Source organism: Homo sapiens, chromosome 5, assembly GCF_000001405.40.
Source record: "Homo sapiens chromosome 5, GRCh38.p14 Primary Assembly".
In the NCBI taxonomy this organism is placed as follows: domain Eukaryota; kingdom Metazoa; phylum Chordata; class Mammalia; order Primates; family Hominidae; genus Homo; species Homo sapiens.
The window spans coordinates 171,387,116-171,412,898 of NC_000005.10; the positions used below are offsets into that span (position 1 = coordinate 171,387,116).

The 25,783-nt window shown below is 43.4% G+C and overlaps 1 protein-coding gene across 8 annotated transcripts, besides 5 other annotated features; it reads left to right on the top strand.

Moving 5' to 3' along the window:
- On the top strand, positions 1-23,785 carry NPM1 (nucleophosmin 1). Of its 8 annotated transcripts, NM_001355006.2 has the most exons (12): positions 1-119; positions 818-891; positions 2,936-3,015; positions 4,190-4,309; positions 4,591-4,684; positions 5,595-5,701; positions 5,799-5,863; positions 13,038-13,095; positions 13,724-13,810; positions 18,187-18,288; positions 20,585-20,659; positions 23,412-23,785. In NM_001355006.2, exons 2-12 carry the CDS (start codon positions 834-836, stop codon positions 23,448-23,450), a joined length of 885 nt encoding a protein of 294 aa, NP_001341935.1. In that variant the 5' UTR covers positions 1-119; positions 818-833; the 3' UTR covers positions 23,451-23,785. The 8 variants fall into 8 exon arrangements, 7 of the variants coding, with proteins under 7 accessions (NP_001341935.1, NP_002511.1, NP_954654.1 ...); NM_002520.7 differs by lacking the exon at positions 1-119 and having other exon boundaries at positions 734-891; NR_149149.2 differs by lacking the exons at positions 1-119; positions 5,799-5,863 and having other exon boundaries at positions 734-891; positions 5,595-5,638.
- Positions 1,015-1,074: a silencer, noted in NCBI's record as "silent region_16607". NCBI's record gives its function as "represses an Ori minimal core promoter by ATAC-STARR-seq in GM12878 lymphoblastoid cells {active_cell/tissue: GM12878}" and the evidence as "EXISTENCE:reporter gene assay evidence [ECO:0000049][PMID:35858748]".
- Positions 1,395-1,454: a silencer, noted in NCBI's record as "silent region_16608". NCBI's record gives its function as "represses an Ori minimal core promoter by ATAC-STARR-seq in GM12878 lymphoblastoid cells {active_cell/tissue: GM12878}" and the evidence as "EXISTENCE:reporter gene assay evidence [ECO:0000049][PMID:35858748]".
- Positions 6,544-7,051: an enhancer, noted in NCBI's record as "H3K4me1 hESC enhancer chr5:170820663-170821170 (GRCh37/hg19 assembly coordinates)". NCBI's record gives its function as "activates a minimal SCP1, AML or CMV promoter by ChIP-STARR-seq in naive H9 embryonic stem cells {active_cell/tissue: H9 hESC(naive)}" and the evidence as "EXISTENCE:reporter gene assay evidence [ECO:0000049][PMID:30033119]".
- Positions 9,254-9,975: an enhancer, noted in NCBI's record as "H3K4me1 hESC enhancer chr5:170823373-170824094 (GRCh37/hg19 assembly coordinates)". NCBI's record gives its function as "activates a minimal SCP1, AML or CMV promoter by ChIP-STARR-seq in primed H9 embryonic stem cells {active_cell/tissue: H9 hESC(primed)}" and the evidence as "EXISTENCE:reporter gene assay evidence [ECO:0000049][PMID:30033119]".
- Positions 9,976-10,697: an enhancer, noted in NCBI's record as "H3K4me1 hESC enhancer chr5:170824095-170824816 (GRCh37/hg19 assembly coordinates)". NCBI's record gives its function as "activates a minimal SCP1, AML or CMV promoter by ChIP-STARR-seq in naive H9 embryonic stem cells {active_cell/tissue: H9 hESC(naive)}" and the evidence as "EXISTENCE:reporter gene assay evidence [ECO:0000049][PMID:30033119]".

Consider the following 25,783-nt stretch of genomic DNA (forward strand, 5'->3'; position numbering starts at 1 on the left):
GGGCGATGTCCTTGCTAATTTGGAGACTGATTCAGTCCCCTTTTGGCCCCCAAGTTACGTAAAGATAAGGACTTTGGAGATGTTTTCTCAGGAAGGACAGAGCTGAAAAACAAAGTTCCGTAAGTCTGGCCGGTAACTACATCTTTCCTTCCTAACAAAGAATAAGCCGCAATTCACTCTCTCTGGCACCTGAACTTTGGGGTAACGATTAACTGCGATCCGAAGCCTTCAGGCAAGTAAAAAATTCCTGAAGTGATTACGCCTGTTTGGAGGCTTGCAGGGCACTAGGGGATGGGGAAAGGTGAATCGAGGTGCTCTCTGGCTCATTCGCAGCCGGCTAACCCGCCATATCTTACACAGCTAAGGGCTGCCGACGCCATTTTGCAGGGTGGGCTGCGCAGACTCTTGGCGGGAGGCCGGCGCGCTTGAGCGGGAGAGGACGTGGAAGGGTTGGAGGTGGGGAGTGCGCGTTACGACTGGAAAGCACGCGTGCGCACAGGCGACAGCAGCGGAGGGGTGGGGCCAGTGTACGAGTGCGCGTGCTCGGTGGGAGCCCGCGGAGTACCTGGAAGGAGGTGGGGGCGAGGTAGAAAGGAGTGGGGTTGAAAAGCGCTTGCGCAGGACGGCTACGGTACGGGGGTGGGAGGGCTTCGGAGCACGCGCGCGGAGGCGGGACTTGGGAAGCGCTCGCGAGATCTTCAGGGTCTATATATAAGCGCGGGGAGCCTGCGTCCTTTCCCTGGTGTGATTCCGTCCTGCGCGGTTGTTCTCTGGAGCAGCGTTCTTTTATCTCCGTCCGCCTTCTCTCCTACCTAAGTGCGTGCCGCCACCCGATGGAAGATTCGATGGACATGGACATGAGCCCCCTGAGGCCCCAGAACTATCTTTTCGGTAACTGCTGGGGGGAGCTGGAGCGAGGCCGAGCGGGGCCTGGTGGCGGTGAGGGTGGGGGTGAGGGGCGGGAATCCGGCTGCAACCGGGTCTGGTGGAGACCGCCAGACCGACGGGAGGCCTGAGCGGGTGGGAAGAGCTGCCTGAGCCCTGGACCTGGAGGGATTGGAGCCGCGGGGGGAGCCGGTGGCGTGAAGGGGGAGGAGACGAGCGGCCTGAAGCGTCTGGGGCGTGAGCGGTCCGAGGCCCGGGGCCTGAGGTAAAGTGGAACCGGCCGCCTGGAAGTTCGGCCTTTGCCGGGGATACGTGGCGGAGCTCCAGGCGTGGTTTATTTTCTAACGGCGGTGGTTCATAGGCTTCTGATGCCAGGCCCCGGGTTGGTGGTCCTGGAGGCTGGGTTCACCGGGAAGCATGGGCCTGCTTGTTGGAGCGGGTAGATGCACAGCCTGGCGTTATTCTGGCCTCAGAGCCTGGAGCTGCCGGACGTAGACTTACCTCGCGTGCTTCGGCCAGTTACTGGGGGTGGGGAGGCGCGGCGCGGCGTGAGGAGGCCGCAACCGCTGGGAGCACGTGGTTGCCACGTGGTTGGGGGAGGGAGGGGGGTGTGGGCGCTACATCCGGGACTCACCGGCGTGTTGCCACTCGTGAGCCAGGGATGCTGTGGCTCTGTTGAAGTGGGAAATGTTAAGAGGCTGGTAGCACTAGGGTTCTGGAGGTCTTTGTTCAGTGCTTACAGCATGTACTGTGATGGCAGCTCTCATTTTTTTGAGCCCCTTTTCTGTCTCACTGCGGTAGGTGGAGCTAGCCCCACTTTGCAGATGAGGATACTGGTGCCCAGAGATAAACTCACTTAACGAAGGTTGTACTTAGTAAAGGCAATAAGAGACTAAATCTAAACCAAGACGCTTGACTCCGTAGCTGCTGCTTCGTGAATATTAATGAGGCTTCGTTTTAGGGGGACGTCCTCGCATGCCGCCATTTGTGCGGCATTGACCAAACTGCTTTTCTAAATACAAGAAACACGTAGAGTGTTCGGTTTGAGTCAGATCAAGACCTAAGACTATTCGCAGAATTTTGGGAGCACCACCCCCCTCGACTTGCGGTAGTCCTGCCCCAAAAAGGAGAGTCCCACTTGGGTTTTTGATCTCAGTAGGATTAATTGCAGAAGCCTAATCTTTGTACTATTCAGACTTTGAAGTAAATGCAAATCCTACCGTGAATTTTATCTTGTTCATTATCCGTGCTGAGATTTGTTAATTAAACGTCTGTTCACATTTAAGCATGTATATGTATTGGTAACGGTTAGATGATAGTTAAATGGAATCATTTAAAATTTTTATTCTGACAGTGTTTTGAAGAATTTTGCCCATTCATGGAGTGAGAGTAGACATATGTATTCAAAACATTAAGGCTTTAATTCCTAGTTATTTTGGATAGCTGAGAATTCTGGTAAATTTATATCAGTACTTTTTGATAACTATCGGAAAGAACCCTCCTTGTCTTAAACATAATTTCTGAATATAGTTTGAGGCGTATGTCACTTTCTGTTGCTTTAAAGAGTGGAGTGTTGATCCCTGTAGCAAACTTCGGTTCTTTTACTTTTGTCATTTTTCTTTTGTAATAGTAAGCTATTCATGTTTGTAACCGTTCTCATTTCGAAATTGCCATTTGGGAATTTAGGTAGGTAAATCAGCTGTTTTAAATAGTGGGAAACTTAACATTGGACATTACATTTGGTTTCAGATAATTGCTTCAGGTTGAGATTTACTAAACCATTGAGCTTGTTTATGCAGAATAACAGTACCTATCAGCGTAGTTAGAGATGAAATATGGTATGATGAGAGAATGGAATTATAGTCTTTTATGGGTGTCTGTAGAGGTTTCTGTTCAAGAAATCTAGGAATTGATCATTCTGCTTTGCCCTCTGGTAGCTAAAATAGTGAAAAACTAGTTCAAAAGTTAGACCTGACCTTTTTGGTTACCCACACTTAAGTTTCAGTGTTATTTTTCTCCTTGTTAGAGTTGCTTTTTTCTTCATTTACAGGTTGTGAACTAAAGGCCGACAAAGATTATCACTTTAAGGTGGATAATGATGAAAATGAGCACCAGTTATCTTTAAGAACGGTACTTAAACTTTCAAAATAAACTACTTAACCCTACTTGATTTCAGCCTTTTAGTTTCTATTCATGTGGCTTGAGACTTTTTTTCCTTTGCTGACTGCTTATAAAATACTATTTCTTACACCTGGGTATTGTGTGTACCTCACTGTCTGTACATCTTTGAAGAACTTGGCATCTATACCACTCATTTGGTAACCATGTAAATTCCAGTCACACTGTTCAACTTGCCTTATTTTCTTCAGTTGAATTACAAAGCCCTTGTAAAAGGCATCGATAATCTTTCATGTCTACCAGAGACTAGCCTTCTGCTCAACTTAGAAGTTGCTCAATAAATATGTTAGGTGGTCTATATTGTGTGTATGCATATTTATGCATTTCTTAAATTTTCTGAATATGAGAAACTGATTTGCCAAGATCACAAAACCTGAGGACAACATTGCACAAATTTGTTTTCCAGGGTAATAGTGAGAGGTTTATACTTGTTTTTTAAAAAAATCACAGTCATGTGCCTCATTGCAACTGCTGGGTCAACAGATGGATCGCATATACAATGGTGGTCCCATAAGATTATTATACCTTATTTTTAATATACCTTTCCTGTTTTTTTTTTTCTTTGGAGGCAGTCTCGCTCTGTCACCCAGGCTGGAGTGCAGTGGTGTAATCTCGGCTCACTGCAACCTCTGATTTCCGAGTTCAAGTAATTCCCTGCCTCACCCTCCCGAGTAGCTGGGATTACAGGCATGTGCCACCACACCTGGCTAATTTTTGTGTTTTTAGTAGAGACGAGGTTGTTACCATGTTGTCCAGGCTGGTCTCAAACTCCTGACCTCATGATCTGCCCGCCTCAGCCTCCCTAAGTGTTGGGATTACAGGCATGAGCCACCAAGCCCGGCCCTTTCCTATGCTTAGATGCACAAATACTGTGTTTCGGTTGCTTACAGTATTCAGTACAGTAACACTGTACAGGTTTGTAGCCTAGGTGTGTGTAGTAGGCTATACCATCTAGGTTTGTATAAGCACATTCTTATGATTGTACAAAGATGAAATTGTCTAACAACACATTTCTCAGAACCTAGCCCTGTGGTTAAGTGACGCATGGCTGCATATAACATTTAGTGGGGGGGTGTAAAATAGGTGGAACTCAAAAGTTGAAGTAGTATTTTTTTTTTGTTCACAGGTCAGTTTAGGGGCTGGTGCAAAGGATGAGTTGCACATTGTTGAAGCAGAGGCAATGAATTACGAAGGCAGTCCAATTAAAGTAACACTGGCAACTTTGAAAATGTCTGTACAGCCAACGGTAAGGGCACTTACATACTTTGGATGTTGTGTCAAGGTTTAATTCTGTTTTAAGGTAGGTTTGGTGTCATTTAGTTGTGCCAAGGAGATAGAAAGTGGTTCTTTATCTTCTGTCACTGGAGTTCGATGGTCAACTCTTGAACATGGGGGCTTCTGCTGCTACTTTTATCAGAGGTGGAAAAACAGGTTCACTGGTTTGTTGATTTGGCTTATGTGTTTGCCTGTAATGTTTATTGTTCATTTTCTTCACATGTTTAGTGATGAAAAATTTCTCCCTTCTAGGTTTCCCTTGGGGGCTTTGAAATAACACCACCAGTGGTCTTAAGGTTGAAGTGTGGTTCAGGGCCAGTGCATATTAGTGGACAGCACTTAGTAGGTATGTTATTTTTATATATTATACTACTTAGTTTGTCCTCTTTAGTGCAGTTGCTTGGTTCCCAGTTTGGACTTAAAGCATGGGTATAGTACTACTGTCTTTTTAATAGGTTCCAATGTGAGTCTAGAAATTGGAGAGGACAAATAAATTTTTGGGGCGGGGGGGAGAGGAAATCTTGCTGTCACCCAGGCTAGAGTACAGTGGCACGATCTTGGCTCACTGGAACCTCTCCGGGATTCAAGCGATCCTCCTGTCTCAGCCTCCCCAGTAGCTGGGGCCACAGACGTGCACCACCAAGTCCAGTTGCGTTTCATAGTTATAGTAGAGAAGGGGTTTCGTGATGTTGGCCAGGCCGATCTTGAACTCCTGGCCTTAACGTGATCTGCACGCCCTGGCCTCTCAAAGTGCTAGTATTACACGTGTCAGCCACTGTGCCTGGCCTAAAAATTATTTTTTAATAAAGACAGTCTCATTATAACGGCTGGAGTGCAGTGATGTGATCATAGCTTGCTATATCCTCGAACTGCTACTGGGTTCACCTCAGCCTCTGGAATAGCTAGAACTACAGGCACACTCCACGCCTGGCTAATTTTTTTTGTATATGTGCAGATGGGGTCTCAGTATGTTGCCCAGATTGGACTCTTGGCCTCAAGTGGTCCGCCTTGGCCTCCCCAAAGTGAGATTACAGGCATGAGCCACCCTCCCCAGGCTTCTTGCATTTAAAACCTGGCAGTGAACATTAGGCCTCAAAATACTTTTGTTAAAAAGTTCCTTTTCCCATGTGCTCTTTTTTTTTTTTTTTTTAAATAGAATAGAAGTCTCAGTTTTTAGAGTATTTACTATCAGTGTTCTTTTTTTTTCTGACTTCTTGCTGCTTGAGTTTTATAATGTCTAATAAATTGTATTTTAGCTGTGGAGGAAGATGCAGAGTCAGAAGATGAAGAGGAGGAGGATGTGAAACTCTTAAGTATATCTGGAAAGCGGTCTGCCCCTGGAGGTGGTAGCAAGGTTCCACAGGTAGAGATGGCAATTTTATTATAGGTTTTGTATTATAGCTTTTAGTTTGGTGATAGAACAGCTCTTGTTCATGAGTACGTATCTTTTCTTTTAAAAGAAAAAAGTAAAACTTGCTGCTGATGAAGATGATGACGATGATGATGAAGAGGATGATGATGAAGAGTAAGTATGATTTTAGAAACTTGATATACTTCCGGAATCTTGACAAAAAAAGGAATTTGACATAGTTATATGCATGAGGGTTTTATAAAAGTCATTTACAAAAAGCCATCCTATGTAATAGTTTATAATAAAAGGGCAGGTGGTCATCTGTTGTCAGTTTAAGTTAAATGAGCTGAGTTGAAAGGATATTGGGTCTGTGAGCCTTTACAATGCTGTGACTTGTGACTCTTCAGAAGGGTAGACTATAGTGTTTGTGAAGTTTGATTATGTCCCTTTGTTCTGAAGATTTAGTGGATGTGTTATACCCATCAAGCCTGGTATGTTTTATGGTGAGCAGTTAATGAGATTGGGTTGAAAGAAAATATGATTAAATAGCTCTATATTCATTTTACAAGTTGTTACTCAAGGTTTGTTATTCCCTAAAAGGATTTTGTCTTATGGTTTTATGTAGATATTTATTGACAAAAATAAGATTCTAAAAGGGATATTAAGATTTTCTTGGGATTTAAAATATGGTTGGAAACAATATTTGATGACTTTATATTAAACTAGATCAAACTATTGTTACAAACAGTTAATACGCACACTGGTATAAAGTACTGTTTATAATTGGTCTTATGTGTGCCAGTACCAGTAATGCATTGAATACTTTGATTTGGCTCTCAGCTTTGTCCTTCAGTTCTGAGGTTGGTCCATATGCATTTATTGAAAACAAATATAAGAACATGCACTTTAAAAGAGAACCTGCATGAAAGATCAAATTGGGAGTTTAGGTTTTAAGCTGGTGGTTCTTCAAAATCTTTGAGCATGACGATGAAGGCAGAAAACAGGAAAAAGGCCGAAAGAGCCGAAAGCTTAAAAATTCAAAGTATGACCAGGCGCAGTGGTTCACACCCGTAATCCTAACACCCAGCCAAGATGAGAGGATCTCTTGAGGCCAGCCCGGTCAAAATAGCAAGACCCAATCTCAAAAGAAAAATAAAAATTCAAAGTACTTGCATGTCAAACTTATAAATGAACGCAAACTTAAAGGTAGTATTTGACTGTTGCTGTTTTTGTTTTCTTTTTTTTTTTTTTTTTTTTTGAGATGGAGTCTCCAGTTGCTCAGGCTGGAGTGCGGTGGCGCCATCTCGGCTCACCACAACCTCTGCCTCCTGGGTTCAAGCGATTGTCCTGCCTCAGCCTCCCGGGTAGCTGGGACTGCAGGCTCGGGGCACCATGCCCTGCTAATTTTTGTATTTAGTAGAGACAGGGTTTCAGTATGTTGGTCCGGCTGGTCTTGAACTCCTAACCTCGTGATCTACCTGCCTCGGTCTCCCAAAGTGCTGGGATTGCAGATGTGAACCACTGCGCCCAGCCAAATTTTTGTATTTTTAATAGACATGGGGTTTCACCACGTTGGCTAGGCTATTCTCAAACTCCTAACCTCGGGCGATCTGGTCACCTCATCCTCCCAAAGTGCTGGGATTACAGGCATGAGCCACCGTGCCCGGCCACTTTTTTTCTTGAGATGGTGTTTTACCATGCTACTCAGACTGGACTTGAATCTCTGGGCACAAGCTATCCTCCCCTCTCAGACTATGAAGCAGGTGGGGTTACAGGAGCATAACCAAGCCCAGCTTGTTTGGTTATCACTTTTAAGAATATTTCTCGTTAGTAAGAATTGAAATACATTCCAAGAGAAGAATGGGAAACAGGCTAAAAACACAAATTAGAAATAGGGATGGTATGGTTCGGATTGGTTTAGTCTGATTTTGAGTTACCTTTGTACAAGTTTATAAAATAAGTGTTTAATAGCATTCACCGAGGCTCGGGGACAAGCAATCCCTTCCAGAAAGGCTTTGGAGTAGGACCTGATTGTAGTATTGACCCTGTTGGGGCTTTGGAAGATTTCCTTTTTTAAAAATTGATATAATTAGGCCAGGCATGGTGGCTCACGCCTGTAATCCCAGCACTTTGGGAGGCTGAGGTGGGTGGATCACTTGAGGTCAGGAGTTCAAGACCAGCCTGGCCAACATGGTGAAACCCGGTATCTACTAAAAATACAAAAATTAGCTGGGTATCGTGGTGCCTGCCTATTGGTCCCAGTTACTTAGGAGGTTGAGTCAGGAGAATTGCTTGAACCTGGGAGGTGGAGGTTGCAGCAAGCCAAGAATGCGCCACCGTGTTCCATCCTGGGCAACAGAGGGAGACTCCCATCTCAGAAAAATGGGTATAAATTCATGATGTAACCACAATGTAATTTTGTTTGTCTTTAAGTTGGGCATTGATAGGAATGAAAAGTGTAGATATCAAGGTCCAAATCAGTACCTGGTTTTTTTTGTGGGATTTTTTTTTTTTCGGCAAGTCTCGCTCTTGTGCCCCAGGCTGGTGTGCAATGGTATGATCTCTGCTCGCTGCAACCTCTGCCTTCCAGGTTCAAGTGATTCTCCTGCCTCGGCCTCCAGAGTAGCTTGGATTACAGGCACTTGCCACCACGCCTGGCTAAGTTTTGTATTTTTAGTAGAGACGGGGTTTCACCATGTTGGCCAAGCTGGTCTCGAACTCCAAAGTGCTGGGATTACAGGCGTGAGCCACCATGCACCGCCGCAAGTTTTCATATAAGTTGAAGAAAGTGTACTAAGGTCTGCATAGTAGTAAAGGATGCCTTGAGGGAAACAAATATTAATAGAAACTTCAGTGGTGAGATGGCAAGGGCCCAGCATAGATAGATGGCAATGAAAATGCAAAGAGGTGCATGAAGGTTCGTTATAGTTACTTAGAAATCTAACCTTTTGAACACAGATCAAAGGGGAATTTGGTTCCTTTTTGAGGATGGAATGGGTATATGGTGTGGGCTCAGATGACTCTTGATTTAAGCAAGAAAGGCTATGTAATGTGCATAGTGCTGATGTATACTATACATAGATGTATGTAATACGTTGATAGTATGTGGCCCTTAAATGTCTTTTTTAATTTTTGGGGAATTTCTTAAGTAAAGCTGAATTTTTTTTTTTTTTTTTGGAGACAGTCTCTGTTGCCCCGGCTGAAGTGCATTGTTGGCTAGGCTGGAGTGCAGTGGTGCAATCATGGCTCACTGTAACTTCTGCCTCCCGGGTTCAAGTGATTCTCCTGCCTCAGCCTCCCAAGTAGCTGGGATTACAGGCATGTGCCAGCATGCCAGGCTAATTTTTTGTATTTTTAATAGAGATGGGGTTTCGCCATGTTGGTCAGGCTAGTCTTGAACTCCTGACCTCAGGTGATCTGCCCACCCCAGCCTCCCAGAGTGCTGAGATTACAGGTGTGAGCCACCACACCCTGCCAGTAAAGCTGTTTTGATAGTAGTTTTGATAGCTATTTTGATAGTAGTTTAATAGACTTGTTTTAACAAATAAGAAAAAATGTTTAAAAAAAGCATTCTCATCTTGTTTCTAGCACAGGGGAGGCACCTGCAGGGATTGGGTTCTAATGCCAGAAACTTGTACTGACAAAATCACTGTTAAAAAGCCACTTGAAGGGCTATTTGTGACAGCTTTTTAAGTTATGATACTTTTTCTAAATACAGCAAATATTTCTTCGGTATTGGAAAGATAGGTGTTTCTTACATGAAGTTGCTGTATTGGGATTTAGAGACCAGTACGTTCAGTTGTTGAATTAAACGTGAACCCCTTGGTATTTGCTAATAGAGACTTCTGCCTGACTTGCCCTCCAGTGACTCGATTTGATTACTCCCCTCCATTGTTTACCTATTAACAGTTCACACCTGTAATCCCAGCACTTTGGGTGGTCGATGCGGGCAGATCACCTGAGGTCAGGAGTTGAAGACCAGCCTGGCCAATATGGTGAAACCCCGTCTCTGCTAACATACAGCTGGGTGTGATGGTGGGCGCTTGCAATCCCAGCTGCTGGGGAGGCTGAGGCAGGAGAATTGCTTGAACCCGGGAGGCGGAGGTTGCAGTGAGCCGAGATCGCACCATTGCATTCCAGATTGGGCAACAAGAGTAAAACTCAAAAAAAAATAGTGTGCAGTTCAGTGGTTTTAGTATGCATAGTTGTGTAGCCATCACCATAATCAATTTTAGAACATTTCATCACCTCAATGAGAAATCGTACTCTATAGGTATTACCCCTCATGCTCTTCAGCTCTAGTCAACCACGAATGAACTTTGTCTATAGGTTTCCTGTCCCTCATATTTTGCACGAATGGACTTCTGTGACTGTTTTCTTAGCACAGTGTTTTCAAGTTTCATCCATGTTATAGCATTATCAGTACTCCATTTATTTATATGGTTGAATACATTGTATGGGTATGTTTGGTTATTCATCAGTTGGTGAGCATTTGAGTTGCTTCTACTTGTTGACTGCTATGAACGCTTGTAGACATGTCATTTTACTTGGATGTACACCTAAAGCAGAGTGGCTCACCCATTGTATTCCCACTAGCAGTGTATGGGGCTTCTGATTTCACTCCAACCTACTGATTTCACTACACCCTCACTTGCCATTATCTGACTCTAATCCTGGTGGTATGAAGTGCTGATTGTGGGTTTGATTGCGTCTCCCTGTGGACTAATAATGAGCATCTTTTCATGTATTCATTGGCCATATATCTTTGGAGAAATGTTTTTGCCCACTTAAATCCATTTACTTCTCTTTGTCTTTACTAAGTTGTAAGAATTCTTTTTTCTTTTTTCTTTTTGATATGATTTTTGTATTTTTAGTAGAGAAGGGGTTTTGCCATGTTGGCCAGGCTGTTCTTAAACTCCTGTCTTCAGTGATCCACCTCCCTCTGCCTCCCAAACTGCTGAGATTACAGCTGTGAGCCACTGTGCCTGGCAAGAATTCTTTTTTTTTTTTTTTTGACAAGTCTCTGTTGCCCAGGCTTGAGTGCAGTGATGTGATCTTGGCTCACTGCAACCTCCTCCTCCCTTGTTCAAGCAATTCTTCTGCCTCTCCCAAGTAGTTGGGATTACAGGCACCCCCCCCACCACGCCCGGCTAATTTTCTGTATTTTAAATAGAGACCGGGTTTCGCCATGTTGGCCAGGCTGGTCTTGAACTCCTGAGGTCAGGCCCGCCTCGGCCTCCCACAAGTGCTGGGATTACAGGCGTGAGCCACTGCACTGGGCCCAAGAATTCTTTATGTATTCTGCAAACAAGTCCCTTATCAGACACAAGATTTACAGATTATCTTCCACCATTCCGTGAATTGTTACTTAACTTTCATGATGGTGGCCTTTGAACAAGTTTTTAATTTTTATGACGTCCGATTTCTTTTGTTGCTTGTGCCTTTGGTGTCAATCCTAAGAAATCATTGCTAAATTCAAAGTTGTGAAAATTTGCCCCCTTAATTCTGAGTTTTGTCCTTTATATTTAGGGCTTTGTTCCATTTTGAGTAAACTTATGTGTATGGTGTGAATGGAGGGGTCTAAATATAGACTTTGGATGTAGATTAGCAGTTGCCCCAACATGATTTGTTCAAAAACTATTTTTTCCCCATTGAATGATCTTGGCAACCTTTAAAAGAGTCACTTATGGCTGGGTGTGGTGGCTCACACCTGTAATCCCGGCACTTTGAGAGGCTGAGGCAGGCGGATCATGACCAGGAGATTGAGACTATCCTGGCCAATTTGGTGAAACCCTGTCTCTACTAAAAATACAAATTTTAGCTGGGCATGGTAGCGTGTGCCTGTAGTCCCAGCTACTCAGGAGGCTGAGGCTGGAGAATTCGCTTGAACCTGGGAGGCAGAGGTTGCAGTGATCTGAGATTGCACCACTGCACTCCAGCCTGGCGACAGAGCGAGACTCCGCCTCAAAAAACAAAAAAATCACTGTTTCTGGACTGTTCTGTTGATGTGTCTATCCTTAACATGTAAGAACAGTACAACACTGTTCCTCTGTGGTTTTTATTTATTTATTTTTTTGAAATGAGTCTCACTGTCACCCAGGCTGTAGCACAGTGGCGTGATCTTGGCTCACTGCAACCTCCGCCTCCTGGTTCCTCCTGCTTCAGCTTCCTGAGTAGCTGGGATTACAGGCGCCCGCCACCATGCCCGGCTAATTTTTGTATTTTTAGTAGAGACTGGGTTTCCCCATTAGCCAGGCTGGTCTCAAACTCCTGACCTCAGGTGATCTGGCCGTCTCGGCCTCCTAAAAAGTGCCGGGATTACAAGCGTGAGCCACGGTGCCTTGGCCCCTTTGTAGGTCTTATAGCTGATTTTTTGAAATCAAGTGTGAGTTTTCTAGCTTTCTTCCTTTCCAGATTGCATTTGGCCTCTTTGGGTCCCTTAAGTGTCTTTTTTGTTTTTGTTTTTTGAGATAGGGTCTTGCTCTGTCACCCAGGCTGGAGTGCAGTGGCAGAATTACACAGTTACAGTTCACTGTCTCAAGCAGATCCTCCTGCCTTAGCTTTTCAAATAGCTAGGACTACAGGCGCACACCACCACGCCTGCTAATTAAAAATTTTTTTTGTAGAGAGGGTTCTCATTATGTTGCCTAGGCTGGTCTTGAACTAAAACGATCCTCCCACCTCAGCCTCCCAAAGTGTTAGGATTATAGGTGTGAGACACTGTGCCAGTTCTTGGGTTTGTTTATAAATTTTAGGATCTGTTTCTACAGAGAAACCAGCTTGGGGAGTCTTCTAACGATTGTATTTAACCTGTATATTCGGGGAGTGTTTCCATCTTGGCAATATCTGAACATGGAATGTTTCTATTTAGGTCTTTAATTTTTTTTTTTAACACAAATTCACTCTGAGTGTACAGTTTAATAGAACTATACATTACTTAAATATACATACATTATACAGTGGTATAGTGTGTATTTATGCAAAACTACTCATTGAGCAACTTCATTTCCCAGCCCCTAGCGATCACAATTATACCTTCTATTTCTTTGAGTTTGACTACTTTTAGATACTTAATGAATAGAATCATACAGTGTTTGTTCTTTTGTGGCTGGCTTATTTCACTTTGTTCAAGGTTCAGTCATGTAGCATGCAAGAGGATTTTCATTGTGTGTACATATACATTTTCATTTAGTCATTTAACACTTGGGTTGCTTTCACCTCTTGGCTGTTGTGAACAATGCTTCGATAAACATGGGTGCACAAATAATCACTTCAAGGTCCTGCTTTCAATTCTTGTGTCTACTCCCAAATTTTGAAAGTGCTTAATGTCTTGACATTTCATTTGTAGTGATGATGATGATGATTTTGATGATGAGGAAGCTGAAGAAAAAGCGCCAGTGAAGAAAGTGAGTAGATACAATGCTACAAGGTTGTTAAACTAACAATAGAAATGGTGATTTTTTAGTGCTATTTGCTTGTTTTGTAGTTAAGGGAAGCTGGTGTGGGAGATCATCTCATACTGAAAATTAGTCCTGAGGAGGATTACAGAAAACTTAAGAGTGGGGAATGGTCTGTTTTCTTTATCCATGTGGCCCTCCACCCAGTTTGTTAGTCTTGTGTAACCTTTTGTCCAAGTGGTTGCTGCTTTTTCCTTCCTTTTTTTTTTTTTTTTGAGACGGAGTCTCAATGTCACCCGGGCTGGAGTACAGTGGCGCGATCTCAGCTCACTGCAACTTCTGCCTCCCGGGTTGAAGCGATTCTCCTGCCTCAGCCTCCTGAGTAGCTGGAATTACAGACTCATGCCACCACACCCAGCTAATTTTTGCATTTTTAGTAGACCACCATGTCGGCCAGGCTGGTCTCGAACTCCTGACCTCGTGATCCACCTGCCTCGGCCTCCCAAAGTCCTGGGATTACAGGCATGAGCCACCACGCCAAGCCTGTGGTTGCTGCTTGTCTTACATGGCTTGGACAGCTTTGTTTGCACTGTTGTTGGGGTCAGGGACAGTGATTAAGATAAATTTCTAATTGCAGTCTATACGAGATACTCCAGCCAAAAATGCACAAAAGTCAAATCAGAATGGAAAAGACTCAAAACCATCATCAACACCAAGATCAAAAGTAAGTGGCTACATTTACACGTGGGTCTCATTGATCTAGTTGGGGAAAAAGATTCTACTGTGGAAGAATCTAGTGTGTCTGAAATTTGATAGGCCTTTATAGAACCCCTGTAATTGCTGTTTAAAAGTTAAAATCAGCTTGCTGCAGCCAGGCTCAGTGGCTCACTCCTGTAATCCCAGCACTTTGGGAGGGAGGCCAAGGTGGGTGGGATCACCTGAGGTCAGGAGTTTGAGACTAGCCCGGCCAACATCGTGAAACCCTGTCTTTACTAAAAACACAAAAATTAGCCAGGCATGGTGGTATGTGCCTGTAATTCCACCTACTCAGGAGGTGGAGACAGGAGAATTGCTTGAACCTGGGAGGTGGAGTGCAGTGAGATTGCACCACTGCACTCCAGCTTGGGCAAAAGAGCGAGACTCCGCCTCCAAAAAAAAAAATCAGCTTGTTGTGTGTTGTAGGTACACACACACACACAAACATACTAAATGTAAGGTGGTGGGGCGGGGGGAGCCAATAGACTTTTTTGAAAGAGATGGACCCTCACTTTGTCACTCAGTCTGGGTTAGAGTTGCGTGATCTCGGCTTACTGCAACCTTCACTTCCCGGGTTCAAGCGATTCTCCTGCCTCAGCTTCCCAAGTAGCTGGGACTACATGCGCGTGCCACCAGGCCCAGCGTATTTTTGTATTTTTGAGTAGAGATGGGGTTTCACTCTATATGTTGGCCAGGCTGGTCTCAAACCCCTGACTGCAGGTGATCCGCCCTCCTGGGCCTCTCAAAGTGTGTGAGCCACCACGCCTGGCCTGAATTTTTTGTGATTGTGAAGTCAATAGTTGTTTCCTGTAAGGAATCTTTGTTGAAAGGTATGTCTGCATAGAGTAGAAGTTCTCAACCTTGGCTGCATGTTAGCTTGAAGTAGAACATTTGGGCCTAGACAGGGTGTATTGATCTCATTCCTGACCCTACCCACTTCCCTGCAGAAAATGGAATTTAAAGGAAAAAAAGTTTAAAGGAACCCCAGTACTTGTGCTCTACTTATGGAGATTGTCATAAAAATGGTCTGGGGTGGGCGCCAGGCATCAGACTACAGTGACTTTCTTGCTTTATTCTTAGGGATTTTCTGATTTCCTTTTTTTTTTTTTTTTAACCTGATGAAATAGTTTATTTACAATTTAAACGAATAAATTTCATATTCTACAACACATATAATCTATTGACTAAATGTAACTAATGATGAACCTCCATACAAACAACCCCACTAAAAAGTGGGCAAAGGACATAAACAGACACTTTTCAAAAGACATACAAGTGGCCAAAAAGCATATGAAAAACAGCTCAATATCACTGATTAGAGAAATGCAAATCGAAACCACAATGAGATACCATCTCACACCAGTCAGAATAGCTATTATTAAAAACTCAAAAAACAACAGCTGCTGGCAAGGTTGCAGAAAAAAGGGAATGCTTACACACTCTTGGTGGGAGTGTAAATTAGTTCAACCATTGTGGAAAGCAGAGTGGCGATTCCTCAAAGAGCTAAAAACAGAACTACCATTTGACCCAGCAATCCCATTACATTCCCAAAGGAATATAAATCATTCTACCATAAAGATACATGCACACAAATATTCACTGCAGCACTATTCACAATAGCAAAGACATGGAATCAACCTAATACCTGATATGGTCTGGCTTTGTGTCCCCACCCACATCTCATCTCAAATTGTAATCCCCACGTGTTGGAAGAGGGGCCTGGTGGGAGGTAATTGGATCATGGGGTAGATTTCCCTCTTGCTGTTCTGTTGATAGTGAATTCTCATGAGATCTGGTTGTTTGAAAGTGTGTAGCACCTCCCCCTTTGTGCTCTCTCTCTTCTGCTGCCATGTAAGATGTGCCTTGCTTCCCCTTTGCCTTCTGCCATGATTGTAAATTTCCTGTGGCCTCCTAGCCATGCTTCCTATACAGCCTACAGCACTGTAAGTCAATTAAACCTCTTTTCTTCATAAATTACCCAATCTCAGGTAGTTCTTTTTTTTTTTTTTCATTTTATTTATTTATTTATTTATTTTTTATTTTTATTTTTTTTTTAATTTATTTTTTTATTGATAATTCTTGGGTGTTTCTCACAGAGGGGGATTTGGCAGGGTCATGGGACAATAGTGGAGGGAAGGTCAGCAGATAAACAAGTGAACAAAGGTCTCTGGTTTTCCTAGGCAGAGGACCCTGCGGCCTTCCGCAGTGTTTGTGTACCTGATTACTTGAGATTAGGGATTGGTGATGACTCTTAACGAGCATGCTGCCTTCAAGCATCTGTTTAACAAAGCACATCTTGCACCGCCCTTAATCCATTTAACCCTGAGTGGACACAGCACATGTTTCAGAGAGCACAGGGTTGGGGGTAAGGTCACAGATCAACAGGATCCCAAGGCAGAGGAATTTTTCTTAGTGCAGAACAAAATGAAAAGTCTCCCATGTCTACTTCTTTCTACACAGACACGGCAACCATCCGATTTCTCAATCTTTTCCCCACCTTTCCTGCCTTTCTATTCCACAAAGCTGCCATCGTCATCCTGGCCCGTTCTCAATGAGCTGTTGGGCACACCTCCCAGACGGGGTGGTGGCCGGGCAGAGGGGCTCCTCACTTCCCAGTAGGGGCGGCTGGGCAGAGGCGCCCCTCACCTCCCGGACGGGGCGGCTGGCCGGGCAGGGGGGCTGACCCCCCCCACCTCCCTCCCGGACGGGGCGGCTGGCCAGGCGGGGGGCTGACCCCCCCACCTCCCTCCCGGACAGGGCGGCCGGCCGGGCGGGGGGCTGACCCCCCCACCTCCCTCCCGGACGGGGCGGCTGGCCGGGCAGAGGGGCTCCTCACTTCCCAGTAGGGGCGGCCGGGCAGAGGCGCCCCTCACCTCCCAGACGGGGCGGCTGGCCGGGCGGAGGGCTGACCCCCCCACCTCCCTCCCGGACGGGGCGGCCGGCCAGGCGGGGGGCTTACCCCCCCACCTCCCTCCCGGACGGGGCGGCTGGCCGGGTGGGGGGGCTGACCCCCCCATCTCCCGGACGGGGTGGCTGGCCGGGCTGAGGGGCTCCTCACTTCCCAGTAGGGGCGGCCGGGCAGAGGCAACCCTCACCTCCCGGACGGGGCGGCTGGCCGGGCGGGGGGCTGACCCCCCCACCTCCCTCCCGGACGGCACGGCTGGCCAGGTGGGGGGCTGACCCCCCCACCTCCCTCCCGGATGGCACGGCTGGCCGGTCGGGGGGGCTGACCCCCCACCTCCCTCCCAGATAGGGCGGCTGGCCGGGCGGGGGGTTGACCCCCCCCCACCTCCCTCCCGGACGGGGTGGCTGCTGGGCGGAGATGCTCCTCACTTCCCAGATGGGGTGGCTGCCGGGCGGAGAGGCTCCTCACTTCTCAGACGGGGCAGCTGCCGGGCGGAGGGGCTCCTCACTTCTCAGACGGGGTGGTTGCCAGGCAGAGGGTCTCCTCACTTCTCAGACGGGGCGGCCAGGCAGAGACGCTCCTCACCTCCCAGACGGGGTCTCGGCCGGGCAGAGGCGCTCCTCACATCCCAGATGGGGCGGCGGGGCAGAGGCGCTCCCCACATCTCAGACGATGGGCGGCCGGGCAGAGACGCTCCTCACTTCCTAGATGTGATGGCGGCTGGGAAGAGGCGCTCCTCACTTCCTAGATGGGATGGCGGCCGGGCGGAGACGCTCCTCACTTTCCAGACTGGGCAGCCAGGCAGAGGGGCTCCTCACATTCCAGACGATGGGCGGCCAGGCAGAGACACTCCTCACTTCCCAGACGGGGTGGCGGCCGGGCAGAGGCTGCAATCTCGGCACTTTGGGAGGCCAAGGCAGGCGGCTGGGAGGTGTAGGTTGTAGTGAGCCGAGATCACGCCACTGCACTCCAGCCTGGGCACCATTGAGCACTGAGTGAACGAGACTCTGTCTGCCCTGATTTCCTTTTTTGAACTGACTTAGTACTGTGCATAAAAGCAAACTCCCAAGTTACTCTTTTTTTTTTTATTTAAAGAGATGGGTGGCCTACTCTTGCCCAGGTTGAAGTACAGTGGTATGATCATAGCTCACTACAGCCTCCAGCTGCTGGGCTTAAGCAATCCTCCTGCCTTAGCCTCCTGAGTAGCTGGGATTACAGGCATGCACCACCATGCCTAGCTAATCATCTTATTCCTTCCTTAAAGGAAAGATTTTAAGAACAAAATTATATGGCGTGAATTTATTGATGATAATTCCAGTTGTATAATTAGCTTTATAAGGGAGTTTTGTGAGAATATTTGAGGAAATCCAGATAGAATGGGTTTTAATTAGGAATTGTATTTATTCTTATGACCTTTTGGAAATTCATTTCTTTTTCAGGGACAAGAATCCTTCAAGAAACAGGAAAAAACTCCTAAAACACCAAAAGGACCTAGTTCTGTAGAAGACATTAAAGCAAAAATGCAAGCAAGTATAGAAAAAGTGAGTAAAGTTATCTTAAAAAAACTTTGTCTCCCCCCTCAAATTGCACGTGTCTGGTTTGCATAGACTTGAATGTTTCTTGTTTTTTTGTTTGTTTTGGTTTAATATACTTGCCTGGTTCGTGGTATGAATTTTTTCAAAAATTTCTTATAAAACATTTATAATCGTGTCTGTGGTGATTTTTGCATATGCAAAATTAAATATGCCTTATTTTCCATTATGCAAGGAACGTAGTGCACTGGTTGCAAGATAACATTCTGACCTTCCATGTTAAAATAGATCAGTGAAAACCCTTTGCCTATTCTGGTTGTAAGATATGCTAGAGAACCAACAGAGGGCGTATGAGACTTCATTAAAATTACAAACAGCTGGAAAAGTAGATGCTGGCTGTTGCTTGGTATTATAGTTAATATTCATGATTGACCCTAGTCAGAAGTGATTTTCAGCAGATTGAGACATTTCTCTTTGCCCTTTACACCAAGTTGTCACCAGTTAATACATGTAGTAATAGCTAGATTTCGTGAATGACTAATAGGCTTAAATCTAGTTTCCTTTTGTCTTAAATAATGGAAATGTGGGAAGAGGGTTAGGTCTCTCATCTGCTTGACTGGGGGATTTGAGTAGGATATGGAATAAATGGTTTAAATGCCTTGGAAGCACATTTGAGAGAAGCTTTAATTCTATGAATAATACTTTTAGACTCCAACTATTGAGAGCAAATGTGGGGTGGTGAAAAATTGCCAACTCATTTCCCCATGTTTTTCTTGTAATCTATAGATTTTTCGTGGCTTCAGTAGATTCCTTGTACAGTGATAAGTCCACTGGAAAAAGAATTTTAGAACTGGAACATATTTCTTTTAGTCACACTGTAAACCCTTTAGCCTTCCTGGTTATCACTGATTTTTGTCCCTTGGATACAATGCTAAAATGACATCTTTTAGATGCCCCTCCCCTCCATTTTAATATGGTCCTATCTCCTTGGTTTAATTGCAGGCGCATTGAACAGTCCTGGGCACTACATGTAAATTAAGCCCAAAGATGGGGAGAAAGGAAAAGGAGAGACAAATATAGTCCATACTGAGTGTCATCAACAATCCAGACTGAAGTCTTCTATTTTAATCTCAATCCCCTTTTCTGATTTGCCACCCATGCCTCTTCAGGCTGGAAACAATCTCTTGGTTCCCTAAAGCACTTTCTTCTGACTGCTGTGATTCAGTGAACCTTGCCCTTTGCTTTCTATTACTTGTGCATTTGCCTCACCTGACAATGTTTTAAATCGCCTTTGTATCTCCTTAGCTGCTCAATAAATATTTGAATGCATCAATTAAGAATGTATGTGACAATAATTTTGAAATGGAAATTGTGAGGTTTATTTTACTAGGTTATTGGAGGCAGTTAAGTTTCTTAATGCTATACCTGATTCTGCCAAAGTCCCTTGGACATTTGAAAACCTTTTCAATCTTTTAAAAATGCATAAAAGATACTTAGAGGGAAAGGTATTAATTAAATTTAGTAAAAACAAATATATTCAATGCTTTAAATTCCAAAGTAGTGATAAATACAAACATTTCAAGATATTTGCAATAGTAATGTTTTGAAATTTTGGTTACAAAGTCACAGGTCTTGCCAATACTGTTGTAGTTTCTTGCCTATATCCGTAATTTGAAGGAAATGGTGAGAGTGATTAGAGAAGTGTAATTACTGTAATTTTTTCCCCTATTGTAGTTTCTTGCCTGTATCCATAATTTGAAGGAAATGGTAAGAGTGATTAGTGAAATGTAATTACTGTAATTTTTTCCCCATTCAACTTTATATATCTTTAACTGATGACCAGATCATTGTTGTTCTGAACCAGTTTGTGGTCAGCAAGTGTTTTGTGGGGTTTTGTTTGTTTGTTTTTAAAGAACAGTTTGGGTCACTTGACATGGTTCTCCAAAGGGATGTTATGGGTTGTATTTGGTTCTGGGTGATAACCGACTTGTTAGATAATTTAGATAAGCAACCGAGTTGCCATGTTTGTTTGTCGAATCTCAAGTGTAGCTTATATTTTATGTTCCTAGAGAGGTTGTCAGGGAAGATTTGACCCTTTGGCAAATCTGTTTGAATAGAGATACTAGCCATGCTGCCCAATAGGGCTTTCTGGCCCTGAAAAAGATACGGAGTATTCTTGGAAAGTTGAAGGGAAAAAGAATAAACTGATCCATGTAGTAGCATGCAGATTATTGAGGAATTTTCTAAAGGTATCTCTCTCGGTGTATTTCTCTACTTACCTGTAATAATGCTTTTGTCTTAATAGGGTGGTTCTCTTCCCAAAGTGGAAGCCAAATTCATCAATTATGTGAAGAATTGCTTCCGGATGACTGACCAAGAGGTAACTGGATTTTCTGGGGACATGATTAAATCCAAGTTTTTTTGTGATTTATTATGATTCTGCCTTTACCCTTTTTAAGTGTTGGCTCTTTTTAAAAAGTTCCTAACCACAGATAATATTTCATTTAATGAAATACCTGAAAACTCATGTATTTAATGAAATGCATGAAGAATACAGTTGGCAGTCTGAGATGATAACTTTAGTATATTTTTCCCAGATTTCCTATAGTTGGTAAATTATTTCTTGGTTATTGAATTCAGTTTTACTTTTTTGGTACTATGTTGGTTAAGGAAATTGCTGTGGTTTTCCTTGCTGTTCCATTTGACTGCTTGGGGCAGTCTGGTCTTGGCTTTTTTGGGAGTTGGTAGAGATCTTTTTTTTTTTTTTCCTAGATCTTATGGGAAATACATTATGCCAAAATCATCCTAACATGAAATCTGGAAGCAAGACACTAAATTGTGGCTACTACCAGATACATAAGCTTGAGTTAGCTGTTAGATTTTACAGTTAGTACATGTGAAAGTCTTAGTCAACATAAAGATTATGCATTTATTTTTGCTCTTATTTACAGTTGACTCATAAGTGTAAGGACAATGTAAAAGTGGTTAAATAGGGATGTTAGGTATCGTGTGGAGAACGGATGCTGCATTTAATGGTCTTTAGGTTTCCTGTGGTCAGCTTTTTTCAAAAAATTAGGAAAATTTGGCAATTAGCTGGTTTTTTTTCTGCCATAGTATTTTGCACTTCAATTATTTAATTGCACTTCAATTTTTAGTTTTCGGGTTCGTAAAACCCTGATAATGGTTAATTTTGAGTTTAGCTTTGTGAAAGTTGTAGTGATGGGCTATAAGATGATCAGGTTCAGTCTTTGGTTGCTGTTCTGTTTTTTCTCTACATTTGAATCCTAAAGTTTAAAGTGTGAGTTTTGGGAGTTTATTTGGAATACTAAACATTGATTAATCATAAATTATTTTGAAACTCCGCGTTATGCAACTGTTTATTTAATATTGAAAATAGTGGAAAGTCAGACATAAATAACCAGCATGTACTAACAGCTAAGCAGCATAAGAGATGCATTCTTCAACTACTGCCAAGGAAAGTGATGATAAATTTAATGATTAAGTTGCAGTAGTCTTCTGTACTTTATAACAAAGGCTTGTAGCTACAAAGTCTTGTAGCTATTAAATTACTGAACCAGCACTTCTACAAGAAGTATTTTCTTTTTATAAAAAGTATTTTTGGCCAGGTTGGTCTTGAACTCCTGGCCTCAAGCAGTCCTCCCATCTTTTCCTCCCAAAGTGCTAGGATTACAGGCACGAGCCACCTTGCCCAGCCTACCAGAAGTATTTTTTTGCTCTAGAATTGAAAGTGTTCTCAAGTGTCAGAATGAAATTTCTGGAATAAATAGTAAATGTTTAATAACTTGAACTTGAATTGCTGTTACAGAGATTATCAAAACTAAATGCTTCCTGTTTTTGACATAGAGATGCATGATGCAAGCAACGACAATGTATATTTGTTTGAACCTGATGATAAGATCTCTGGCTGGGCGTGGTAGTTCATGCCTATAATCCCAGCACTTTGGGAGGCAACATGGCAAAACTCTGTCTCTACTAAAAATACTAAATTTAGCTGGGCATGGTGGCATGTACCTGTAATCCCACCTACTCAAGAGGCGGAGGCAGGAGGATCGCTTGAACCTGGGAGGCAGAGGTTGCAGTGAGCGCCACTGCACTCCAGTCTGGGTGGCAGAGTGAGAGTCTATCTCAGAAAGAAAGATTTCTATGATATTTAATATTGGCATTCGGTATTCAGTTACCTTGTACCTGAGAACCCATTGGCTGTGAAACAGTGACAGCTGAGAGAATCCTGAGTCATCTCATTTCTAGTTCTTGGTGAACTTCTGGACTTTTCTTCAGAACCACCTTGCCATGTTGGCCAGGCTGGTCTTGAACTCCTGACCTCTCAGGTGATCCAACACCTTGGCCTCTTAAAGTGCTGGGATTACAGGCATGAGCCACCATGCCTGGCCAGCTGTTTTTTTTGTTGGTTTGTTTTTTGTTTTGGTACCCATCTGTAGTGTGATCTTGGCTCACTGCAACCTCTGCCTCTTGGGCTCAGGCAGTCCTCCCACCTCAGCCTCCTGAGTAGCTGGGCCTCCTGTAGTTGCACACCACCAAGCCTGGCTAATTTTTGCATTTTTAGTAGACAGGGTTTCACCATGTTGCCCAGGCTGGTCTCAAATTCCTGAGCTGAAGTGATCTGCCCGCCTCAGTCTCCCAAAGTGTAGGGATTACAGGCGTGAGCCACCATGCCTAGCCTCAGCATATAGTTTTTTCTAAATGTACACATGCCCAGGCACACATGCACAGGCAATTCAGAATAAGTTTCTGGTGTTTATGTAACTTTATTTGCCAAATCTGGCCAACTCTAAAGCTGATCTCGGGAGATGAAGTTGGAAGTAACATTGGCCATATGGGTCTCTGTTCTTTCTGTTGATTTCCTTAAGTAAATAATGCTAAACTATTAAATAATTATTAGTATATTGTTCACATTTTTATGACTGATTAAAGTGTTTGGAATTAAATTACATCTGAGTATAAATTTTCTTGGAGTCATATCTTTATCTAGAGTTAACTCTCTGGTGGTAGAATGAAAAATAGATGTTGAACTATGCAAAGAGACATTTAATTTATTGATGTCTATGAAGTGTTGTGGTTCCTTAACCACATTTCTTTTTTTTTTTTTCCAGGCTATTCAAGATCTCTGGCAGTGGAGGAAGTCTCTTTAAGAAAATAGTTTAAACAATTTGTTAAAAAATTTTCCGTCTTATTTCATTTCTGTAACAGTTGATATCTGGCTGTCCTTTTTATAATGCAGAGTGAGAACTTTCCCTACCGTGTTTGATAAATGTTGTCCAGGTTCTATTGCCAAGAATGTGTTGTCCAAAATGCCTGTTTAGTTTTTAAAGATGGAACTCCACCCTTTGCTTGGTTTTAAGTATGTATGGAATGTTATGATAGGACATAGTAGTAGCGGTGGTCAGACATGGAAATGGTGGGGAGACAAAAATATACATGTGAAATAAAACTCAGTATTTTAATAAAGTAGCACGGTTTCTATTGACTTATTTAACTGCTTTATACTTTGTCAAAGAAATAATTAATGTAGTTAGGAATGGCAAATAGTCTTGTAAAATTCTATGAGAATGTCCCTGCCCTCCCCTTCAATATTCTCTCTGGAGCTAACCACTTTTTCATCATAAGGATTTAGTGCTGTGTTCCCACCTCCTGATGATAGTTAACAATTATTATAACTATGCAACATGTTTCCAAATGTTCCATTAGACCTCCTATCTGCCTATTCTAGCCTCACTTGCAAAGAAAATGTGGCATGTTAAAACAGCTTAAAAGCAGCCTTTCAACCTGTATGGTTTTTTCCCCTAGGCTGGAGTGCAGTGGCACAATCTCAGCTTATTGCAGCTTCTGCTTCTTGGGTTCAAGCAGGTCTCCTGCCTCAGCCTCCCAAGTAGCTGGGATTACAGGTGTGAGCCACCAGCCCGGCTAATTTTTGTATTTTTAGTAGAGATGGGGTTTCACCTTGTTGGCCAGGCTGGTCTCGAACTCCTGAGCTCAAGTGATCTGCCCACCTCGGCTTCCTAAAGTGCTAGGATTATAGGTGTGAGCAACTGCACCTGACCTCAACCTGGATTCCTTATCTGAATCAAAGCAATTATTTCAGTGACTATTTGCTCAAGTTGCCTAGTACTTCTTACAGATGTATAGGAGAAAATTTATCACGTAGATAATGAGGATATTCAGAGACTAATTAGCACCTTTATATGTTCTGCCTTAAGCTGATTACATGATCTGAGTCAGATATACTGATTTGATTTCTATTGTTTTGTTGTGCTTTATACTCCAGTAGTTTGAGTAGGTGAGGGAATGTTCTCCAGTTCTGTGCCGTTTTCCTTGGGAGATTTTCATCTCCCACTTCTATCCATTCTTAGTCTGGTTTGATTGTCTTGGATGGTTTTTCTCATTCCTTTTTGTTTAAACTTGGGAAAGAGACTTTGATTTTGTCTTTAAATTTTTGTGTTGATTTTAATATACCAACTGCTTGCTGCTTTGGGCGTGTATCTGAAATCTAAAAAACATTACTCAACATTTTATTTATTCCAACATTTTGAAGTGATCGTGAATTTTTTTTCTTTCTTGTTTTGAGACCTATTCTCGTCTGTCACCTAGGCTGGAGTGCAGTGGTGCGATCTGAGCTCACTGCAGTCTCCTGTCTCAGCCTCCAAAATAGTTGGGATTACAAGTGTGTGCCACCACACCTGGCTAAGTTTGTATATACATATAAAAATAAATAAATATATAAATATATAGTATATAGATATACTAAAATATACATATATTTTAGTATAGATGGTTTCGCCATGTTGGCCAGTCTCGAACTCTTGACCTCAAGTGATCTGCCCGCCTCAGCCTCCCAAAGTGCTGGCATTAGGCGTGAGCCAGTGTGCCCAGACAGGTTTTCATCCTATGTGTTTTTGCCTTTAACTTTCTAGTAGCCTGTTTCATTTAGCAGGTTGGCATTTGTTAACTAGGCTGATAGTTGTATTTTGAATCGGATCTGTAGATGTTAACCCTTCTCACTTCTAGGATAGTTCTCCACTTTGGAGAGTGGAGAAAAGTTTGGGTACAGTACTATCTTGTCTCATAACCAGTTTCTGGGTGTCATATATGTGTTCTAATTGTTTACTGTGGGTTGTGGTTTCCTTCATTAATTCAGTATCCTCTATCCTCTATCCATATCTGTCCATGTTTTTCTATACCTTTATTTTAATGAAGACTCAAGAGAGGATGGTATGTTGATTGCCTCACTGGAAAGTACTTTTTTTTTTTTTTTTTTGGTGCCACCATGCCCAACTAACTTTTTTGTCAAGACGGTGGTTTTGCCATGTTGCCCAGACTGGTCTTGGACTCTTGGGCTCAAGTGATCTCCCACCTCAGCTTCCTAAAGTGCTAGGATTACAGGTGTGAGCCATCACATCTGGCTGGAAATGATATTAATGTGATTTTTTTTTTGGCCAATTTTTAGAGTGATGGATTGATACCTAGC

Excerpts from the sequence above, each read along its gene's own strand:
- NPM1 (NM_001355006.2), top strand. The coding sequence starts at position 834 with ATGGAAGATTCGATGGACATGGACATGAGCCCCCTGAGGCCCCAGAAC. Across the intron at positions 892-2,935 it reads GCCCCAGAACTATCTTTTCG|GTTGTGAACTAAAGGCCGAC; the intron begins GTAACTGCTGGG and ends CTTCATTTACAG. Across the intron at positions 13,096-13,723 it reads AAAAAGCGCCAGTGAAGAAA|TCTATACGAGATACTCCAGC; the intron begins GTGAGTAGATAC and ends TTCTAATTGCAG.